Source organism: Homo sapiens, chromosome 11 (assembly GCF_000001405.40).
Source record: "Homo sapiens chromosome 11, GRCh38.p14 Primary Assembly".
In the NCBI taxonomy this organism is placed as follows: domain Eukaryota; kingdom Metazoa; phylum Chordata; class Mammalia; order Primates; family Hominidae; genus Homo; species Homo sapiens.
The window spans coordinates 18479777-18503449 of NC_000011.10; the positions used below are offsets into that span (position 1 = coordinate 18479777).

Sequence of the window (23673 nt, forward strand, 5' to 3'; positions counted from 1 at the left end):
AGCCTCATGAGCTTTCTAGCACTCTCATTTTGATCAAGAACATTCTATTCTGGATGAGCTCTGCAGGACATACAGCAGCTATATAGTTCATTGGGTGGTCACAAACTTGGCTACAGAATCACTCACCATGAAGACGAAACTTTAAATGACAATAAAAGCAGGGAGGCAATGGTACACTATCTTTCCCTTTAATCCTAAAGTTATCAGGTATATAGTTTGGACCTGCCACTCTGCTCCTTTTTGATGAAAACACTTATGGTTCAGTGAGGCCTAGAAAGGAAACAAATTTAGTAGGGTTGGTAGGAGAGCATCTCCTTGGACCTTTCACAGATAAGTTACTCAAATGCTTCAATTTCAAATATTTCAAAATTTAGATTTCTATTTGGTATATCCCCATGTTAATTCACTTTATATGCTGTAGAATAATACTAAATTTCAACTTAAGATGGATTTTATGCCTTTTTTGCTAAATGAGAAGTTGGGCTTACTAAGGTTTCATGGATCTTTCCTAAAGTCCAATAAAGGAGAGAAAAATTATGCAACAAATTTTATTTAGCAGTCCCAACATTCAGCACAAAAAGTTTACAGAGGATAGAAAGTGCATTAATAAAAGCCAGTCTTTACCAAAAGAAAACAGAAAATATATTATTGATTCAAAATATTTTACACTTGAATGATAAACTGCAATAACTTATTCTGGGCACCTACTGATAAAAGGAAGAGAAGAATACTTTAAGAAGAGCTCAACCTCCAGCTGGTATCAGAGAAGTCAGTAGAGGTCACTGAGACCGGCAGTCTTTCTTGCTTTTTGCATTAGTGCCCTCAGCTGGAACTGTTTACGGGACAGAAGACGTACATGCTGGGAGGGGAGAAAAGTTTGAATAGTTTAGAATGGCTTTGATTTAGGCCCAGGCATAAAATAGACAATTTGTAACCTAGATGGGATCTAAGAACCCTAACTCATGACCTGCCAACCTTTGGAATGAATACCTCATTATATGTGGCTTTTAAGCTGCATATTATAAAGGCTTACTCAACAGGGAAAGCATTACATTGCAGGATCTGGCTCAGGAGTTTGACCTACACTTTCTTTTCCTAAGCCATGCCACTCAAGCAAGAGATTGTACAGAAAAAGAGTCCTCTCTTGGGTCTCTGGTTTATATCCAGCCATTCATGTGGTTGTACCACTTCTGAGGCACATGGTTTGGCCATTCCCCCACAGTGAGAGGAGATAGGCAAGATCAGCACATGACCTGACCAGGCTCCAGCTACAGCTGGATCAGATATCCCAAGGGTGGCTGCTATTATCCCTAAAACCATGTTCTCCATGACCCAAGAGACAGCAGTAGCCAAACTTCGCTTACTAGATTTTCCTCTGTACAACAGCATTAAGCTTGAGACAACTTTCATACAAGAGGGCTTGAAAGGGCAGCCTGATACTTTGATGTGGGAAAACTGGTCTAAAGTTATATAACTCTAAGAAAATTAACAGATAAAAAATGGAGGTGGCACAATCAGTGATCTCAATTTAGGTGGTATGACCTCAAAGAACCAATGGAAATCTGATCGTACCTCCTGATCCACCCAGGCACAGAAGAGTTACACTCATCTTAATGCTGCCTGTGGGCAGAGAACTGCAGCCACCAGCCCACTTCTCTTCCCCTGCTCAGACCAATCCTCAGTACTCTGTAGGTAAAAAGATGGTGCAAAACCCTACATCTCATTTAGTGTTTTTTGGGAAGATAAAGAATCTTAATCCATACTACAAAGAAACTCTCTTGGTTTGTGGTTTGCAAGGTCAGTGCCTCTACAACCCAAGTTAAAAAATCTTGGAACGTAAAATGAAGAAATACCTTCAGGAAGACATCCAGGTCTATCACGCCCCTTCTCAAGGCTTCTCCCAAGTAAAAGATAGTGTCTTCAATAGCGTTTTCTTCTGCATACAGATTCAGGATCTGTTTGTATAAGGGAGCTGTGGGAATGATAACTTCATCGATATCATTGTTTTCAGACTGATTTTCCATTTTTTCCAGAGCAGAACTGAGTTCTTCATCCTTCTTTTTCAAAAGTTCTATGTTTTTATCAACCTCGGCCTGAAAACAGAACAGTCCAAGCATTAATAACTGTACATAATTATCCACTTGTCAGACACCTACAACACTTCACAGGAAAAGACAGGCTAACAACCATGTTTAAACAACTCATGGATGAGAATAATGTTTCAAATAACACCCTGGTCAAAGGTAGAGGAAAAGATGTGATCTACTATGCTGAGTGAAATAGAGTAATGATGGAGATATCCTGAGGTGACAGCACTTTCAGTGACAGTAACAAGCTTGTCACCTGTCAGCGACAAATGATACTGCAAACTAAGCCATCAGACAAGATACTTTCCAGCAGAAGGTTCCTTTACATAGAAAATCATAAGAGGTTTTTCTTCCCAACAAATGGGCACCTGCCATAGGAGAGTAACTTTCCTCAGTCTATGAAGAGGATTCAATGCATAGAGGCCCAAATGTCTGCATTCTAATCACAAAGTATCACACGCAGGTGCTGGTTGTAGGCTCTGAGTTGTATTGGTGTCACTTTCCTGAATTCTAAAAATTGGCTACTTCGAGGCTCATTTTACAATCTAGAACCACTTTGTAAGGCTAATGGGTACATACAAATCACTTTCCACAAAGCCCTCAACCTTCTAAGAATTCTTTACTATTCCATCAAAAACACACATTTACTGGAATAAATTCTCCCTCATGGGGATGAAAATGGAGCGTGAAATTGGCACTTCAATTATGCTGATGCTTCCACTTTATCATCATTAAGCAAAGCCATAGGGCTGACTTACACACGGACTGTCCAAGGCATAGCTGTCTGTTATGAGAAAGCTTAAAGAGCTGAAGGTTGCATATGCTATGTTTATATGTAGCTCTTTAGCCAACCAAGTATCTCTGGATTATTGAGAAAGTTCCCTGAACATACTTTTAAAAAATGGCTCACACAACCTTTGGAAACAATAAAATAGTACTGTCCTTTTAAGTCTGCTCCTAAGATGTGCAGATCTTTATCATGGCTTAGAACTCTCTAAACTTATTTCCTAGTAACTGGCAACATCAAGCACTCAAACAGTCCTCCTTTGGGTTAAAACATCCTTTGCCTAAAACATTTCCTAGGGCAAAGGTGTGATAAGGTTTGGCTGTGTCCCCACCCAAATCTCAACTTGAATTGTATCTCACAGAAAGGGACCTGTGTGCGTGTGTGTGTGTGTGTAGCAGGGGGTGGGGAGGGATGGCACGCAGGGGTGGTAATTGAATCATGGGAGCCGGTCTTTCTATTCTCGTGATAGTAAGTCTCACAAGATCTGATGGGTTTATCAGGGGTTCCAGCTTTTGCTTCCTCCTCATTTCCTCTTGCCACCACCATGTAAGAAGTGCCTTTTGGCTGGGCACAGTGGCTCACTCCTGTAATCCCAACACTTTGGGAGGCCAAGGTGGGTGGATCACCTGAGATCAGGAGTTCGGGACGAGCCTGGCCAACATGGTGATACCCCGTCTCTACTAAAAAATACAAAAATTAGCCAAGCATGGTGGCAGGCACCTGTAATCCCAGCTACTCAGGAGGCTGAGTCAGGAGAATCGCTTGAACCTGGAGGGTGGAGGTTGCAGTGAGCCAAGATTGCACCACTTCACTCCAGCCTGAGCGCAAGAGTGAAACTCTCAAAAAAAAAAAAAAAAAAAAGGAGTGCCTTTTGCCTCCCACCATGATTCTGAGGTCTCCCCAGCCATGTGGAACTGTAAGTCCAATTAAACCTCTTTTTCTCTCAAGTCTCGGATATGTCTTTATCAGCAGTGTGAAAACGAACTAATACAAGGTGCAAACAAAATGGTCTAAATATTATACCCCTCCCAATCTAAGACCAAATGCCAAACATAGGCTCCACTGTAAACAAAGGTATAAAAAATTACATTCAAATGTTTAAAGATGCCTATAATTTTCTGAACTCCTACTATGCCCACAACATCCAGGGAACATATAGAACACTCTGCCATGGCTACAATTCAATCCAAAAATTTTAAGTCTTTAATGAGTCACTTACTACTTCTTGATCTAAACGGGTAACCATCTCTTCCAGTTTCTGGTGACCCTTTTTCAGGTCTTCTTCTGTTCGTTTCAAGGCATTGAGCTCTGCCTGGGCACGATCCATTTCCTCCTTCATCCGCCATCTCAGTTTGTCACTGACCGCAGAGATGAGAGAGGCTCGGATGGTGTCCTCGCTGATTGTGCCATCCCTACTGGGACCTGCAGGAAACAGAGGCAAAAAACACTTGCTTACTTCCCAAGTTCCTTCTATTTGTCTCACAGGAACCTTCAGAAAAGGGGGCAATATGAACCGACACTTTCAAAATGTGAGGAAAGAAAAAAATTATGTTACCAGTTTCATGAGAAATAATGTAAAAATCTGAGTTGATTCAGAAATACTTGCCCTACAAGAGATTACTATTAATCCATGTTAAACCCAGTTTCCCTATTCATAGCCCAAACAATTAGCTACAATTAGTTATTTTCTCAATGAGACAGAGGCTATGTCCCTACCAATTACAATTATTCCTAAATAACCAACAAATGGCACAATAATTTCCACTAAGGAAAAACATTTGGTGCAGGCCAAGTCCAACATCAGGCTTCGCTGCTAAGCTGAAGGAGACAAGTGCCCACTGTAGAGGCCAGTGAGAGGACTGAGAATGGGCAGTTTCCCTAAACGAATGTACAGGTTAATAAGGCTTCCCTCTGTAAGACTTTTACTACTTCACCCTTTACCAACAGGACAGAACAGATGAACAAAAAAGAATGACATCCAAAAAATTCAACAGCTGATAAACTGTTTATTCCCAGATTCTTTACTATTCTCTTCCAAATGTCCCTTCCTAATCAGTATATTATATCATTTCCATGCATATTTCAGATCAAATAAACATCCTCTGGATATTTTCTTCAAAAAGGTCCCCTTTCTAATATAAGTTTGGGTATTCTTTATGACTATCAGTGTTCTTCAGTTATTGTCCCAAATCAGCAAATGTGTAAATGGCATTTTGACTTTTAATTATGTTTGATTATAAAATACTACGTGAGGACGTTAAGTATATTTAACCTTAATTGCCGCCTTTTTTTTTTTTTTTTTTTTTGAGATGGAGTCTCACTCTGTCACCCAGGCTGGAGTGCAGTCGCATGATCTCGGCTCACTGCAACCTCTGCCTCCTGAGTTCAAGCGATTCTCCTGCCTCAGCCTCCCGAGTAGCTGGGAAGCAAACTTCCTGAAGGGCCTTGTGAATTACCTGGGTCTTCTAATTACCTGTTAGATGATCCTGCTTTTTACCAAAACCATCAACAAACTCTGTCAACAAACTCTAAGCCATTCTAAACTAACAAAAAAGTTTAATGCTCTCGAACATCAGATCCCATCTTCTCTCTACCATTAAATTATGGTGAAACCTAATCTTTGCCAATGATCTTTCCTCCATTAACCATAATTCCCAAAACGTCAGCACAACAACTAGAATCTGCTCTCTCTTAACAGTTATCACTATATTTATTAGTTTAATAACCTATTTTCTGAAGGAAAGGTCTCTATAATCCTTATTATGCAGCCTAAATACTAAATGTTAAGGGTGGCAAACTGTTGCTGAATGATCTCCTGAAATCAACAGAATTGGTTATCTTCTAGGAGTCCTAGAGAAAAGGCCTCAGATGGTTAGAAGTCCTTAGAATGTGCTTTTTTGGAAACTTCCCTTCTCTTGTCTTCTGCTGCAATGTAGAAGAAGGTAATTATTAAAATTGTTTATAAATATATGAGCGCTCTCCAAAATAAATGGTATGGTGGTATTAAACCAAATGAAAGAACTCATCAATATCTCTACCTGAAAATCAGAAAAATGAACTGCTGAAGCTCTACTGCTTTGAAGGCATGTGGTTGGAAACAGTGCTGAAAAGTCATTAATAGAGTAAAATATTTAAAATTATGGATTTCATTAACAGCAACAGGAGGCAGCCAAATGCTGAGGCAGATGGGGTGGGTCCCCGGTGAAACGCCACCTTCAAGCCAAAAACAGCCTGAAGGCTGAAAGATTGGACTGCTGGTCCCGGATGAAACCCCTGACCTAGAGTGAGAACTTCTATTCCTGTTTGCCCACCCTTTCCCATTGATTCTTCCTCAATAATGCCTTTTAACCAATCAAATGTTGCCTTTTCCAATACTACCTATGGCCTGCCCTTCCCCTATTCTGAGCCTGTAAGAAGCCGCAGGACTCAGCCACTTAGAGGGGACTTTCCCACCTTTGGGTAGGGGAACCACCCCTGCATCCCCTCTCCAGTGAAAGCTCTTTCATCAGTCAATAAAACTCCCTGTCTTGCTCACTCTTGATTGTCAGTGCATCCCCATTCTTTGTGGGCACAGGACAAGAACTCGGGAACCAGCGGGTAAGCCAGACTCGGCCCAAGTGGGCCGAATGGGAGGGCTGTCTCTGGCAGCAGGTAGCATGGCTGAGGGAGGCCCAGGCAGGGTGTCGCTCGTCAGAGGTCCCTGGCTTGCAGAGTGACTGAGAAGAAAATCCTGCATCATCAACACTATCACTGCTTCACTTCATTCAAACAATTCTGCCCAACCAGCCACCATAATTCAGGGCTAAGCCCCTTCGGCAGTTAAATTCTTTAAAAATTTCTTATGCAGCCAAAAGACACATGAAAAAATGCTCATCATCACTGGCCATCAGAGAAATGCAAATCAAAACCACAATGAGATACCATCTCACACCAGTTAGAATGGTGATCATTAAAAAGTCAGGAAACAACAGGTGCTGGAGAGGATGTGGAGAAATAGGAACACTTTTACACTGTTGGTGGGACTGTAAACTAGTTCAACCATTGTGGAAGTCAGTGTGGCGATTCCTCAGGGATCTAGAACTAGAAATACCATTTGACCCAGCCATCCCATTACTGGGTATATACCCAAAGGATTATAAATCATGCTGCTATAAAGACACATGCACACATATGTTTATTGCAGCACTGTTCACAATAGCAAAGACTTGGAACCAACCCAAATGTCCAACAATGATAGACTGGATTAAGAAAATGTGGCACATATACACCATGGAATACTATGCAGCCATAAAAAATGATGAGTTCATGTCCTTTGTAGGGACATGGATGAAGCTGGAAACCATCATTCTCAGCAAACTATCACAAGGACAAAAAAACCAAACACTGCATGTTCTCACTCATAGGTGGGAACTGAACAATGAGAACACATGGACACAGGAAGGGGAACATCACACATCGGGACCTGTTGTGGGGTGGGGGGAGGGATAGCATTAGGAGATATACCTAATGTTAAATGACGAGTTAGTAGGTGCAGCACAACAACATGGCACATGTATACATATGTAACTAACCTGCATGTTATGCACATGTACCCTAAAACTTAAAGTATAATAAAAAAAAAAAAGAAAAAAAAATTTCTGTTCCCAAGGGAACATCCAAATTCTTTAACAAAGAATACTACCATAATTACCATAATTCAATCTCCTGGACTTGCTTTGGTTTCCATTTTTGGCAGGGAGGGGAAAACTGATTTATAATTTTGGTCTCTCACAACAAATTCAAAGGATTAGAAAAAATGTAAAATGCAATATAATTTGAGAAAACTTTACTAAAACACCTTAACACAAGGAAGAAAAAACATTAGATCGTTTCTGTAACCATTAAAATTTTTTTTCTAGTAGAGAGGTAGTCTCACTATGTTGCTCAGGCTGGTCTCAAATTCCAGGCTCAAGCTATCCTCCTTCCTCAGCCTCCTGGAGTGCTGGGATTACAGGCATGAGCCACTGTGCCTGGCATCCCACCTATTTGCTATTGCAAAAAACAAAAACAAAAGAAACAAAAAAACCTCAAAGTATAGGAATCTGCTATAATTCCTGGTTTGTAACAGGAGTGGTGGCCCAGCTCATGCTTCAGTGAGCATACATCCTCCTTTTCCATTGCTCCATGTTGCCCATCTCATCTTCAAATTACAGTATTAGGCAGGAAGCTTTTGGTAGATCTTTTTTTTTTGTATTTGGGTATTTTTTGTTTTTAACTGATAAAATTTTTATTTCACTTTTGAAGTTTTACACTTTTCCTGATTATTCTGTGTAAGGTGAAACTGGAACTGTTTAAAAGACATACACAAACCTAGTACATCAGTAACAGGATTTTTCTTTTTTGCTATACTATTTTCACAACCACAGGTGTGCTTGCTAGACAATATAACCATCACAGAAGAAAACATTAGGCAGAATACTGGTTAAGGAAAAACAAAGCAAGAAAAGAGCTACCAGATATACAAACAGGCTTAGCTCCACATTCACTACTGCATTTTCAAGGGCCAACTATTAACTGCACATTTTTGTTCAGTTAGAAAGGAGGGATTTTTGTTTTTTTTCTTTTTTTGGTTTGTTTTAAATCAGTGCATGAGGTTTTCTTTTCTCATTTCAGCAGATGGACAAACAGATGGACTCTACAGCTAGATGGAATGTTAAAGGTAGAGGGGTGATATTGTGAGACTGATAGGCCTATTATCAATTCTCTCCACTGCAGTGTCCACACAACTTCCCTGAATATAGGGTCTCGTTAAAACACATCTGAGAGTTGAGCTGGATAAGTGCACTTGGGAGACCTGGTGAGGGGCACTAAAAAGCATGATCAGGGCCAGCCTCAATACAGGGAGAAGTCAGGGATATTTAAAAATACTTTTTTGATTCAGATCCTGGTATGACTAAAGAGCAACACCGTGTTGAGAACTGGAGGAAGACAGAGCTCTGGTGCTAGAAGTTCTTCTCAAGTCTTTAAAGCCAGGCTTGCTCACCAAGTTGCTCACTAATGTCTCTCACCCCTGCCCATATACAGCATTAAAAAGTGAACAAAAGACAGGTAAAGATAGAATTCAAAAAGCAAAAAAAGGAAGGAAGCAGAAGGACAGAAATTTAGAGAGGAGGGAAGGGAAAACCAAAGTCAACAGTCAAAAAGGATGATGGGGGGCCGGGCGCAGTGGCTCACACCTGCAATTCCAGCACTTTGGGAGGCCAAGGCGGGTGGATCATGAGGTCCAGAGATCGAGATCAACATGGTGAAAACCCATCTCTACTAAAAATACAAAAATTAGCTGGGCGTGGTGGTGCGTGCCTGTAGTCCCAGCTACTTGGGAGGCTGAGACAGGAGAATCGCTGGAACCCGGGAGGCGGAGGTTGCAGTGAGCCGAGATCATGCCACTGCACTCCAGCCTGACAACACAGCAAGACTCCATCTCAAAAAAAAAAAAGGATGGTGGGAAAGAATGTTTTGATTTCAAAATTTAAAAGCCCCAAGCCAGGAAATTCAGTACTCCTCAAGTGAAAGGCAATCTCTACAGAACATCATTCTATTTTTTTTTTTTTTTGGAGATGAGGTCTCCCTACGTTGTCCAGGCTGGAGTGCGGTTATTTCACAGGTGCAACCACAGGGCACTGCAGCCTTAAACTCCTACGCTCAGGCGATCCTCCTGCCTCGGCCTCCCAAGTAGTTGGGACTATATGCCTACACCACCATGCCTGACTCAGAAGATTATTCTTAAAGGTATTATCCAGGAAACAGATAAGGTCATTCATAAAACACATGGCTTTTCTTTAGCTCAGTGTTAACAATGAAAATAGATTCCATTATTGAAGCACAAGTTGCAAATTGGTAACAAAGTGAACACACTGCAGTAGAAAAGGGGATTTAGTCAGGTGTGTTATATGAGCACTTGGACTTTTCAAGGTGTCATAAGCCAGTTATCTGCCACAAAGAATTTAAATTTCAGGATTCGAGTTTCTTCAGAGGAAGACACTGTGGACATCTGTGGTCATGAACTTTTGAGTGGCAACAGCCCAAACAGGTCAAGTGTCTTTAAGTGCCAAACAACAGGCAGCATTACTATGAATTACCATTAAACTCAAATGCCAAATGATGTGTGTCTCACTCCAGGTTCTAGCATCATAATATAATCTCTATAACCTTCTGTACAACTTTACAATGGAATTGTATTTCAATGATTCTGGTATCAGATTAAACTTTCCAAAAAGTTACACATAATTCAGGTCTATTTTTTCTACAAGTAAGAGTTTTGCTAAATTACAAAACCCCATAATCACAGTGTTGAATTAAAAAAAATTAAACACACAGTAATCCTGTCAATGTTAATCAAAATCAAAACTTCAGAATGCCGTGGCATTTATGTGACCAATCTGAGTTTTAGAATACAAACACCAGCTGTTTATCCCATGAACCATTTTTGCTAGGCTGAGGCTGTGAAAAATCCAAAGTCAACATACAATTATTTTTTACCACACAAGGGATATACGTGGAGGGTACAGAGTGACATTGAACAGATTACAAAGCACAAGAAACATTACTTCTCTCCCTCCCCAGCATCTCCTTCATCTTCCTGGTTTTCCGATGTCCACAGAGTAACACTGTCCCAAGTAATTGCATGATCAGAGTGCTGTCTTTATAAGACTCTTCATTCAGTGTATCCAATTCAGTAATTGCTTCATCAAATACTGTTTTTGCCAGGCTGCAGGCCTTTTCAGTAGAGTTTAGAATCTCATAGTAAAAGACTGAGAAATTAAGTGCCAGACCAAGTCAAACTGGATGTGTAGGCTGCATTTCTTCTTTCTTACTAATTTCAAATGCTTCCTGGTAAGCCTGCTGGGAATTCCACACAGTGGTTTGTTTGTTGTCTCCAGATGCCACTTCAGAAAAATACCTAAAATAATCTCCTTTCATTTTCAAATAGAAAATGGTTGTATAGAATTGAGAACAAGATATTTGTCCAACAGCTCCAGAACGTCATTGCAGATGTCCTGCAGTTCTGCCTCTATCTTCTCATGCTACTCTCTCCCCATCTGCTGCTGTTTCTCATTCCTCTGTTTTCTGCTCAATGCTGGAGAAGACATGCCAGGAAAGCAGCGGGCACCAACCATGTTCTTGTAGGCAACAGAGAGCAGATTTCTCTCTTCGTTGGAGTATTCATGCCTCGTTCTGTGACTGCCTTCGTGACTACAGCCATATCATCATAGCGCTCAGCCTGCTCAGTGAGTTGGCTTTCTGTACCAGCTCACTTTTATCCAGTCGTTCCCGTGGGAGGGCTGCAGGGGACGAGGATGCTTCTGAGCAAAGCTCCAAGTGAGGTGACCACTTCTTTCCCAAGCCCACTCCTCTGGCAGCGGTGGCGGTGCCTGCCGTGGCTGCAGCGACGGTAGCAGCAGCTCCTGTATTCGGATATTTTTAAAGTTCAAGCAAAATAAGGCAAAATGCCTTACAGCTTGGTTCTGTGTAGTAAAGAATTAACTTTACCCAGAGAGGCCACGCCTTTGCCCTTGGCTCCTGGAGGTGATGTCTAAGCCCTCAGAACTTCCTGACTAATTAGAGTGTTCTTTATCTACACCAGACAGTCTAACAGTGTGATTTATGGGGGGGTCTGGGCCATGCAGTGATAGGTAACAGCTCAACCTCTGGAGGAGCTGGAGACTAAAGGTCAGCCTCACAGGCAGTCAATGGTGTCTATATGACCAAGTCCTGATAAAAACTCTAGACCCAAGGCTCAGGTGAGCTACCTTGGTGGGTAATACTCCATGCATAATGATACATACTGTTACTGGGAAAAGTCAGCACTGCCTATGACTCCACTGGGAGAAGACAACTAGAAGCTTTGCACTTGAAACTTTCTGGGTTGCCCACGTGTCTTTCCTCAGCCTATTTTAATCTGTATCTTTTGCCATAAGTCATAACTGTGAGTATAATAGCTTTCAGTGAGCTTTTAAAGTCCTTCTAGATAATTATAGAACTTTAGGGTGGCCTTGGGAAACCATGAACTTGCAATGAGTGTCAGAAGTGCAGGTGGTTTTGTGAACTTCCAAACTTTACAGGTCCTTAACTAAAGAGTATTTTCTTACCTAATCAAGAACTTGCTCTTCATGGCAATTTGTAGAATAAGTCGGTCTACTTCAAATGAGGCCATATAAAAAGGCAACACATCTTTCCACACTCACTGAACATACAGATTAAAATACGTCAGAGAGTGAGCTCTCTTTCACAGACTTAATATGAATTAAAGTCTTAGCTGTTCAGTCATCTGGACAGAATTTAGACCGAATAAAAATCTCTAATTTCTTATACTGTACTTAAAAAGTCCTTTAAAGAAAGTGAAAAAGAGCCAATTTCTACAAGAGTTTGGTTTAGAATTTCATATCCAAAGGATGATTCATGATATGATGACTATTGAAGATTTCATTAAGTCCCCAGTTTATAGTAAGGCTGCATTAGCAAAAGGAATTTTAAAACCTTTCTAGAAGAACCTGTCTTATAATCTATATGAAATATTATGATGGTTCTTGTGAGACAGGAAGGAAAATCCTTCTCCCATAGATTACGTACCTAAATGATATGTCTATAATTAAGCATTCAATCACATGCAACAGTGGTGGTATTCCATTCATTGGCACAGAAGTTATCAGAACTAATGAAAACTTAAGAGTCTTTTTATAGTTAGTGAATTTTTCACACATAAACACATCAACATACTTTGTTAAAGCTATTATATCTGGTCTAATGGGTCAAATTATACTGATGCTAAATTTTTAAATCCTTATTTTTAAAAACACACATTTAAATCCTGGAATTTACATTCTGTTTCTCTTTATAGAATATGTTCAGGCAAATGCTACCATAATACCACCAAATAAGTCCTTGCCAAGACTTTCCAGCCAAAGTCATTAACCCTCAAAATAAGAACCAAGCCGAGGCAGCAGTCGCTTGGCCTATAAAGGTCACAGTTCACCTGAGGAAGTTACAAACACCAAGATTAGACCTAGTCTTATCTCTATCACACATAGACTTCACTGTGAAGTATATCTAAACTTTAAAAAATCGAACTACTTTGTAAAAAAAAAAAAAGGAATTATAACTAAGATCTGAAATAAGAAAGTAAAAAAAGAAAAACCCAGAGTTTTTCAAAGAAGTAAAAGAAAAACTCATCAAAGTTCAAAATTCGATGAACCATGCCACTTTAAGATAATGTTTATGCAAACAAATAAGAAAAAAGATTTGGTGGAAGATTCTCATCTACTTTGTGAACACTTACCAAACCAAACTTTCTTCTCAAACATCTTAGAAGAAATTTGAATATTCTCTATACCTGCTATAACAAGAATAAGAAGAGTTTTTGGCAAACTGCCATACCCCAAGTCCCCAACACACTGACCTTTTTACTCAAGCAGAGTCAGATTTCAAAAGTGCCCTTCTACAATTCCAGATTAGCAGTTGAAGAGCTAACAGACTTTGAGTAACAATCTTAAGCAAAACTTCCTTTAAATGTCAGGTAGGATCTGATCTCCAAACTTAATCCTTAGGAAATAAGATATAATTTTTCTAGTATTAGGAAACCAACACTCTACACTCAATGGACCCAAAAATTCATTGAATAATTTATGCAAGTATATTCACAGTGCACTAGTATACACTACCTGATTTAAAGCCACTATTTAAACACTTAAGACACCCGGTTTCATTTATCTCCTAAGAGTATTTACAAACGATCACTACTTCCTGGAACTCAAATGAAGCTATTTTATATTAGAGAAAGAATCCATAAGCCCAAAGTAAACTATAACTCAACGATAATTTTTCTGACCTCACCCTTAATCAGCAAAAGTAAACTACCTGCCCAGCATTTTTACTCCTGGATGTTACTTGCTCAGGCCCACATAATGGTCCTAGGTCTGGCATCTGTGCTACACAGCAAACTATGGAGCCCAAGTAATCCCACACAGTAGCTTACTGACCATCTATTTAGAAACTAGACCGAGAACATATGAGGATTATTTTTCTTTCATAATAAAAAACAAAAAACAGGTCTATCTCTGAAGAAGGAAGAACATTTCAGACAACTGTATGAGCAAAGGAGTTCTGATCTGTGCTATTAAGTGCAAACACTGCAAATCCATTACATGGCTTACAAAAGTCCTTTTTATTTATAGTGTATGAATATGTAAGCTTCTAATACTACTTACAGGCTTTGTGCAGGCTATGGAGCTTTTCTTCCAAAGAAATTAGGGGGCCTCAATTTATCTTTTAAACACTCAGAAAAATGCGCTTTACTTGAGCTCTAGAAAGTTTCTATCAACACAATCAATAAGAAAAAATTTAAAGAAAGCTATCAGCAGGTTTACACTTCTTGAAAATAAACACACACCACAAAAAAAGTTTAAATTCATTTACATAAAAATTAAAGTTTTCAAAAGTGAAGGTAAGTAGGTATAAGTCTTGCTAAAATGAGACAGCAAAATAATAACTACTCCAAAAAAGAAACAGTGTGACAAAATCATTCAGCTATCATAGTAAGTCATAAAAGATGAAAGATGCTACCTGGTAGGCATAAGCACAAAAGCCAATAAATCTGAAGGAGAGTTAAAATTCTATTCTTAAAAAAATGAATCAGAATCAAAGTAATTCCATTAAAATTAACGTTTTGTGAAAAGACTAATTTAAGAATCTATTATGTTAGAGGTATTCTATAGGAATAACGACAGGAAGCCAAATGAATCAGCTTCTCCTACCTTTCCTTTACTAACAAAATAAAAATCATTTGTTAACTTACACAATAGCTTTTTTAAAAGCTTTCAAATCTATCATTATTGCTTTGAATTTCTGTTATCATTATTTCTGTTATCATTATTGCTTTGGCAGAAAAGGATTTAACATTTAGCAGACTAAACTCTCAGCATTTAAATTTCACTCATGACTCACTGACTGTCCAGGATTGGAAGAAAACGCTACTTATCCTGAAGATGAGGCAGTTATTCCCAAAGGAAGTCTGTGAAAGGTGTGGGGAAGAGGCACCCAAACCTGCACACAAGCAAGCGTGCACTAGTAAACCCACATGGGCTGGGTGCCTTGGGTGCCATATCCTGAAAGTACAGTTTCTGTAGGCCAAACACTTAATCTAGGATGGCCAGAGGGAAGAACAGCATTGGATAAGACAGTCAAGAAAAACTTGTCATGTTTACTAGCTTCTGTCCTCAAAGAAATATTAACAGGTAAGCTCTCTTATTTTTCTTCACCTTTTCCTTTCTTTATCTAAATATTCAGTATGGACTAAAGAGTGGAAACTACAGAAACACATCATTCAGCTGCAGCATTTTCAGGGTTTTCCACTCCCACATTTTTAAACAACACTTTAACAAAGGTAAAACTGGTCCCTGAATCTCTGTTAATAGCACCCTTCCAAACTTACTGTTTCTGATCCTTGTTTATTTGATTTTTAGGAACAAAATCTTAAAATGACATTTTTAAAACTCAGAGGTTGAAATATACAGTATTTATGAAGTTTTACCAAGAAAAATTCTGTGGTAGGTATTGGCTTTAACCGGGAATAAACACCTACTCTTCAATTTTACTATTATTAAACTGCAACTACTGAAAGGTCAAACTGTGTATATGTTAAAGGCCTAAAGCCTAGGATTCAGAGCTATAAATCAACTACAATCATCTATATAGCTTTTTAAAATAAGTCAACCTTCAAAAGAGAACTTTCACCACTGCTGAGACTGGAGTAAGGAATCACCAAAGCCTTTTAACTTCCTCTTTTTTTACCAGGGGCAGGGGTGGTGGTTGTGGTAGAGAAACTTCATGGTGGCTCACCTGGTGCCCATCCATACCCACTATTTTTCAGGGATCTTGTATGTGAAACTGATTAAGATAGGTATAGTCAGTTTATGTTTTGCTCCTACAGTAACAGGAAAAAGAATCTTTGTGTTAAGTTTCAATGCATACTACCAGTTAGGTTTTTTTTTTTTTTTTTGCTACATGAATTGGTTTGTTCCTTCATTATTCACCGACTACCACCTCCTCATTCCCCTAGTTAGTTTTCAAAACACTATGTAAACTGAGGTTGAAGATGTCTATAGCACTCTGATAAAAGGACTCTACATAGATCAAGGCTGAGGCAGGAGAATGGCGTGAACCTGGAGGGCGGAGCTTGCAGTGAGCTGAGATTGCATCACTGCACTCCAGCCTGGGCAACAGAGTGAGACTCCGTCTCAAAAAAAAAAAAAAAGTACTCTACAGAGATCAAATAAACCTGGAGATTCTGGCACAAGCACAGCTGACAGTACATCCTCCAAAGGGAGGGGCCAATTAGTCCACTGACATTCCTCACACATAAATTCACAACATATGGAAGTGTCACTGAGTGGAACACCATTCTCTTCTGGGTACCATACTATATACTAATATTTTTGAACATCTGGTAAATTTTAAATCTTTCTTAATTCAGATTACACCATAAAATTAAAATCCAGGCTGGGTGAGGTGGCTTATGCCTGTAATCCCAGCACTTTGGGAGGCCGAGGCAGGTGGATCACCTGAGGTTAGGAGATTGACCAGCCTGGCTAACATACAAAATACAAAAATTAGTGGGTGTGGTGGCACATGCCTATAGTCTCAGCTACTCAGGATGCTGAGGCAGGAGAATCACTTGAACCCAGGAGGCAGAGATTACAGTGAGCCGAGATCATGCCACTGCACTCCAGCCTGGGTGGCAGAGCGAAACTCTGTCTCAAAAATAAAATAAAATAAAATAAAATAAAATAAAATAAAATAAAATAAAATAAAATAAAATAAAATAAATCTACAGAGTGAAACTGCTAAGTTTCAAAAAGAACAAGGGAGCCTAGTGCAGTGACTCACATCTGTAATCCGGGAGGCCAGCACGGGTGGATCACTTGAATCTAGGAGTTCAAGGCCAGCCTGGGCAATACAAAAATTAGCCGGGCATGGTGGTATGTGTCTACAGTCCTAGCTACTCAGGAGGCTGAGGTGGGAGGATCACCTGAGCCCAGGAGATGGAGGTTGCAGTGGGCAGACAGCACTGCTGCACTCCAGCCTGAGCAAGAGAGCAAGATCCTGTATCAAAAAACAAGGATAGCGCCAGGTGTGGTGGCTCAGGCCTGTAATACCAGCACTTTGGTGGGTTGAGGCAGGTGGTGAGGTCAGGAGTTGCAGTTGGAGATCAGCCTGGCCAACATGGTAAAACCCTGTCTCTACTAAAAATATAAAAATTAGCCGGGTGTGGTGGTACGCTCCTCTAATCCCAGCTACTTGGGAGGCTGAGGCAGTAGAACTGCTTGAACCTGAGAGGTGGAGGTTGCAGTGAGCCAAGATCGCGCCACTGCACTCCAGCCTTGGCGACAGAGCGAGTCTGTCTCAAAAACAACAACAACAAAAAAAACAAGGATAAATAACCAAATTCATTCTTTCTCATGGCCTCAGTAACAGAATAACAGCCCAAATCGTGACCATTGATATACTGAGAAAATGTGACTGTGGACTCTAATATCTAAATGATACTTTTATGTTTCTGCTTTCCTTTAAGTCTAAAGTTCAACAGACTACTAAATGTTCAACTAATGAAATATGATGAAAAAAATCAAATCAAGTAGGTAAAGATCAAAGGGTAGAAAAACAATATATATTAAAGGATATCCTAAATTATCATAAAATAATTTGCCTCTAGCCTATATGCCTAAGACAGTACTCTTGAAAATGTAGAGTAAAATATTAGTTGATTTGATTACCCGTTCAAAAATCATAAACATGAGATCTGATTCCACATATACCATTTTCCACACATTTCTATTCTTTGGATATATGGAAATCATCTAAGCTATAAAAAAATGCTTCGTACCTAATGTAATGAAACAAGTTAATATAAAAAAGATCTTTGTAAACTAAGGTTCTCTACAAATCAAAAGGATTATACTATTATTTCAATGAGAAACAGGGTGACAAACAGCACTATTCCTATTTTATTGATAATGCTGAACCAAAATAAGAGAGCTTCACCAGATTTAGTGTGCTTTGCTTATGGATTAAAGACCTTTTATCATTTAGGTTTCTAACTCCAATCATTTCATTATATTGTAGTTACATTAATGACAAATACATTTTAATAAATCAAAACCACACCACTGGAACCTGAATAGTGTGTATCAATGAGAAAAACGGTGGAAATAACCCTTTATGGGGTGGGGGGATGACATTTACATCAGACCTCAGGATGGTTACAAGTTATCAGAAAACATAACAGAAAAATAAACTTCACAAGATTCTATGTTCATTCAGGAACTCAGCAAATCTCTTCAACAGCAAACTTCTATATACCAAGCACTCTTCTGGATGTTGAGTGTGTGGGTGGGGGGTTGGAGGGGGGATTGGTGGTGGTGGCAGCAAATTGGTAAGGATAGGCCTGGCTGATCCATGCACAGAAATAGGCCGTGGACAAATCCTAAGACAGGAGACCAGTAGGAGATGAGGTCAGAAAAGTAATGGGGAAGAGGGCAGGATCATGTAGGGCCTTCTGGGCCCAAGAACTTTGGACTGAACTCTGAGTGAAACAGGAAATCACTTGAAGGTTTTGAGCAGAGGAGTGATACAATTTATTTATATTTTATTAGGATCACTCTAGCTGCTGTGTCAAAAAAGAGAGATGTAGGGGGACAAGGAAAGAAGCAGAGAAATCTTGTGGAAGGCTTTTGAAGTAAATTAGATGAGCCATAATGGTGACTTGGATCAGCACTGGATATGATCAGATTCTAGATATATTTTGAAGACAAGAGGATTTCCTGATGAGGAGTCAAGGATGACTCCAAAGAGTATAGAGTAGGTAACAATGGAGATGGGGCAGGTGTTAGGAAGATTGAGAATTCGGTTTTGGTTGAGTTTGAGATGCCTATTAAACATCCAAGTAGAGATACTGAAAAGGCAGCTGGATATAACAATCTCGAGTTCAGGAGAGAGGTATAGGTCAGAGACATAAATTTGAGAACTGGGGGCACAGAGATGGTATTTAAAGCTATTGAACTGGTGGAAATTATCAGGAGAGTGAGGATAGAGAGTGCCAAGGAGACTAAGCCAGGGTCACACCAATGTTAAGAAAAATGGAAGAACTTGCAGAGGAGACTAAGTATGAATACCCATGAGACAGGAAGAAAATAAAATGAGCATGGTGTTTTGGAAAACAAGAGGAAAGTGTATCAAGGAGGAAGTAACCAACTGTGTCAAATGCTGCTGATAGGACAAGTAAGATGAGAATAGTAACTATCCATTGGATGTAACCTCAAAAAGTTATTGGTAATCATGACCAGTTTTAGCAAAATGGTATGAGAAAAAGTCCAAAAGGAGGTTTAAGAGAAAAACGGAGAAGAGGTACTGAAGATAACAAAGAGAGTTACTTCAAGGAGTTATTCAGAGAAGAATGAAGACATCCAATAGTGGTGGCAGGAAAAGTGGAATAGAGAAGAGGATTCTTTTTTAAATATATATATATAAAATATATATATTTATATATGATATATAATTATATATTTATATATTATATATATTTTATATATATTTATATATATCATATATATTTATATTTATATATTTATTTATATATATTTATATATTTATATTTATGTATATTTATATATGTTTATATATAAATATGTTTATATTTAAATATATATATATATATATATATTTTTTTTTTTTTTTTTTTTTTTCCTGAGATGGAGTCCCACTCTATTGCCCAGGCTGGAGTATAGTTGTCTGATCTCAGCTCACTGCAACCTCTGCCTCCAGGGTTCAAGCAATTCTCCTGCCTCAGCTTCTTGAGTAGCTAGGATTACAGGCGTGCGCCACCACGCCCGGCTAATTTTTTTGTATTTTTAGTAGAGACAGGGTTTCACCATGTTGGCCAGGCTGGTCTCCAACTCCTGACCTCGCAATCTGCCCGCCTTGGCCTCCCAAAGTGCTGGGATTACAGGTGTGAGCCACTGTGCCTGGCCTAAAAAATTTTTTTAGATACATAATATTTGTACATATTTACGTGGGTACCATGTGATATTTTGTTACCTGCACGGAATGTAATGTTCAAGTGAGGGTATTTAGGGTATCCATCACCTTGAGTATTTATCATTTCTATGTGGTAGGAACATTTTAAGTCTTCTAGCTATTCTGAAATAGACAATACATTGTTAACTATAGTCACCCTACTCTGCTATCAAACATTAGAACTTATTCCTTCTATCTAACTGTATGTTTGTACTCATTAACCAACCTTTCTTCATAAGCCCTATCCCACCCACACACCGTTCTTAAGTCTCTGGTGTCTATCATTCTACTGTCTACCTCCAAGAGATCAAGTTTTTTGGCTCCCACATGAGAACATTTGATATTTGTCTTTCTGCGCCTAGTTTATTTCCAATTCCATCCATGTTGCTACAATGACGTTTTCATTCTTTTTATGGCTGAACAGTATTCCACTGTGTACACATACCTCATTGTCTTTATCCATTCATCTGCTGATAAATATTTAGGTTCACTCCATATCTTAGCTAGTATGAATACTGTTGCTATAAATATGGGAGTACAGGTATTCCTTTAATATACTGATTTCCTTTCCCTTGGATAAATACCCAGCAGTGGGATTGCTGAACTGTCTGGTAGTTCTAATTTTAGTTTTTTTAGAAATTGCCATACTGTTTTCCATAGTGGCTTTAATTTACATTCCCACCAACATTGTATAAGTTCCCTTTTCTCCTCATCCTCAATAACATTTGTTATTTTTTTATTTTTTGTCTTTTTAATAATGGCCATTCAAACTGGGATAAGATTATATTTCTTTGTGGTTTTTATCTGCATTTTCCTGATGATGAGTGATATTGAGCATTTTTTCATATACCTGTTGGCCATTTGTATGTCTTCCTTTAAGAAATGTCTATTCATGTTCTTTGCCCACTTTTTAATGGTTTGTTTTACTGTTGAGTGGTTTCAATACCTTGTATATTTATTAGTTCCTTGTCAGATGGGTACTTTGCAAATATTTTCTCCCACTCAACAGGTCGTCTCTTTACTTTGTTGACTATCTCCTTTGTTGTGCAGAAGCTTTTTTTTTTTGAGACAAGGTCTCGCTCTGTTGCCCAGGGTGGAGTGCAGTGGTGCGATCTCAGCTCACTGCAACCTCCACCTCCCAGGTTCAAGCAATTCTCTTGCCTCAGCCTCCCAAGTAGCTGGGATTACAGGGGTGTACCACCACGCCCAGATTTTTGCATTTTTAGTTTTTAGGAGAGACGGGGTTTTACCATGTTGGCCAGGCTGGTCTTGAACTCCTCACCTCAAATGATTCGCCCGCCTTGGCTTCCCAAAGTGCTGGGATTACAGACGTGAGCCACTGCATCTGGCTCACAAGCTTTTTAATTTAGTATCATCGCAGTAGTCTATTTTTGTTGACTATGCTTTTGAGATATTAACTATAAAATGGTTGCCTAGGCCAATGTCCCGAAGGGTTTCCCCTATGTATTCTTCTAGTAGTTTTATAGCTTTGGGTCTTACATTAAGTCTTTAATCCATCTCAAGTTGATTTTTGTATGTGGTACAAGATAGGGGTCCAGTTTTCATTCTTCTGCATATGGATACCCAGTTTTCCCACCACCATTTATGAACAATGTCTTTTTCCCAATATATGTTCTTGGCACCTTTGCTGAAAATCAGTTGGCTGTAAATATGTAGATTTATTTCTAGGTTCTTTATTCTGTTCCATTGGTCTGTTTCTGTTTTTATACCAATACCATGCTGTTTCGGTTACTATAACCTTGTAATATATTTTGAAGTCAGGTAGTATGATGCTTCCAGCTTTGTTCTTTTAGTTCAAGATCACTTTGGCTATTTGGCTTCTTTTTTGGTTCCATATACATTTTATGATAGCTTTTTCTATTTCTATGGAAACTGACATTGGTATTTCGACACAGACTGCACTGAATCTACAGACTGCTTTGGGTAATATAGTCATTTTTACAATATTAATTCTTCATGGGCATGAAATGTCTTTCCATTTGTTTGTCTCAATTGGACTCTTTAAGGCTTTTTTAGGGCATGGTTCTCTGTGCTGATGAGTCATCCAGTAGAGAACAAAACTTGAGAGGAAGGAACTGCTGAAGTGATGCCCCTGAGTACATTAGAGGGGATAAGGTCTAGTGGAGAAATCAGCTTTAGATAGAAGCAAAGATAACCAACTTATGGTAACAGGGAGAAGGCAGATATGGTGGTGCAGGTAGTGGGAGATAGGCATAGGTGAAGGCTGGAGTCTAAAGAAATTCTCTCACTGCCTTAGTTTTTTTAGTTGAAGAAAATTATATTTCAGGTAACGCTAATAAGCAAACACAAAAAGCAAAAACTACTGGTCTTCAATCATTTGTCTGATTTGACCTGCTCATATTAACCCATTTTACTTTCTTCTCTTAATGATGGTGATCTGTTTTCACATATAACCAAGCTAGGAAAATCTATGTATCTGCTAATAGTTCAACACATGTTTGGCTCACAAATAAAACTATGTGATCAAAAGAAAGATTGATGAGTTAATCAGATTTATTTTCATGCCCTGGTAGAAGGTTCATTTATATGTTAAGTCATTTACTTCAAGTTTAAGATTATAGTACATTATTATAGGTTTTCCTCTAAGAAGAAAGAGTAGTCCAAAATTCACAAGTGAAATGTGCTTTTCACAACAGGGAGTTAGACTTTGCTTATATGGTGAAACACAAGTTTTCAAGGGTACTTACCAACAGTGGTCACAGGAGGCTGAGAAGGGTACTGAGAACTTGTTGTGGCAGGATATGGACCACCAGGTGGGTAAGGACAGCCTGGGTAACCACTAAAGACAAGAACAAAAAACATTTAACATTTAAGATGACCCAACCTTATAGTATTTTGAAGAACCCCATTCAGGAAGTTAAGCTTGACATATGGTTGTTTTACCAGTTGATGAATTTATAGTCTTGGAGCTGCAAGTGTTTATTCAAGTAAAGCTCTATGGAAATTGTATTAATGACACTGCATTTACTCTTAAATGGCTAAATGCTCTTGCTTGGTCCCAGTTATATGAGAGTCACCCTCATAGCAGCGGAAATGTAACTAGAGTATTTCTAAGGACAATCCAACAGCATCAGAAGCAACAAGTAATTTGTGAGAGAACTTTTCCGATTTCTCAGTCTGTGGGAAAATGATACTATTTAATTTGTACCTGTGGCTTATTGGTAACCTTTGGGGATATTTAACCCGAAAACACTTGTCTTTAAATAGTTTTTTTCCTCTTTTGATAACATTCGTACCAAACTCATCTTTAGTTTAAAAAAAAACCTTTTTTCTCACTTTCTGGACAGTTTCTGTCATTCATGTATTCGTATCAAAGTCAGAGGAACTTTCCTTAGAGGTATTCTACTCCAATCACCTTTCCAACAATCTCTTATCTACACACATCATTTATAACATCCCTGACAAATGGTCATCTTTCTCTATTTAACATTAAACATCATTTCAATATAATTTATAAATAGGAGTCCTAAATTTGCATTTTGGAAGACACTCAACTATTTGGAGACTCCTAAAACTCGAATATTTGAGAACTTCTAACATTTTTCCCTCAAGCTTCTCTTCTTCAGGTTAAATTTTTTTTTTTTTTTTTTTTGAGACGGAGTCTCGCCCTGTTGCTCAGGCTGGAGTGCAGTGGTGTGATCTCAGCTCACT

The 23673-nt window shown here is 38.9% G+C and overlaps 1 protein-coding gene and 1 pseudogene across 2 annotated transcripts in view, besides 3 other annotated features; both read right to left on the minus strand.

The window, feature by feature from the left end:
* TSG101 (tumor susceptibility 101) overlaps positions 535-23673 on the minus strand; it is a 46632-nt gene continuing 23493 nt past the window's right edge. For both annotated transcript variants that reach the window (NM_006292.4, XM_005253108.5), the window contains 4 exons: positions 22710-22801; positions 4094-4296; positions 1854-2093; positions 535-859 (listed from right to left, as the gene is read on the minus strand). In NM_006292.4, the coding sequence (NP_006283.1) occupies positions 770-859; positions 1854-2093; positions 4094-4296; positions 22710-22801 (625 nt within the window). In that variant the 3' untranslated portion in view covers positions 535-769. The remainder of the gene's footprint in view (positions 860-1853; positions 2094-4093; positions 4297-22709; positions 22802-23673) is intronic.
* Positions 6362-6571: a silencer, noted in NCBI's record as "fragment chr11:18507685-18507894 (GRCh37/hg19 assembly coordinates)". NCBI's record gives its function as "represses an EF-1alpha promoter that drives an FKBP-Casp9 reporter gene in an ReSE screen in phorbol 12-myristate 13-acetate-treated (for megakaryocytic differentiation) K562 erythroleukemia cells {active_cell/tissue: K562(+PMA)}" and the evidence as "EXISTENCE:reporter gene assay evidence [ECO:0000049][PMID:32094911]".
* Positions 6362-6581: a biological region, named in NCBI's record as "ReSE screen-validated silencer GRCh37_chr11:18507685-18507894".
* Positions 6532-6581: an enhancer, noted in NCBI's record as "active region_4501". NCBI's record gives its function as "activates an Ori minimal core promoter by ATAC-STARR-seq in GM12878 lymphoblastoid cells {active_cell/tissue: GM12878}" and the evidence as "EXISTENCE:reporter gene assay evidence [ECO:0000049][PMID:35858748]".
* On the minus strand, positions 10282-11316 carry YWHABP2 (tyrosine 3-monooxygenase/tryptophan 5-monooxygenase activation protein beta pseudogene 2; annotated as a pseudogene).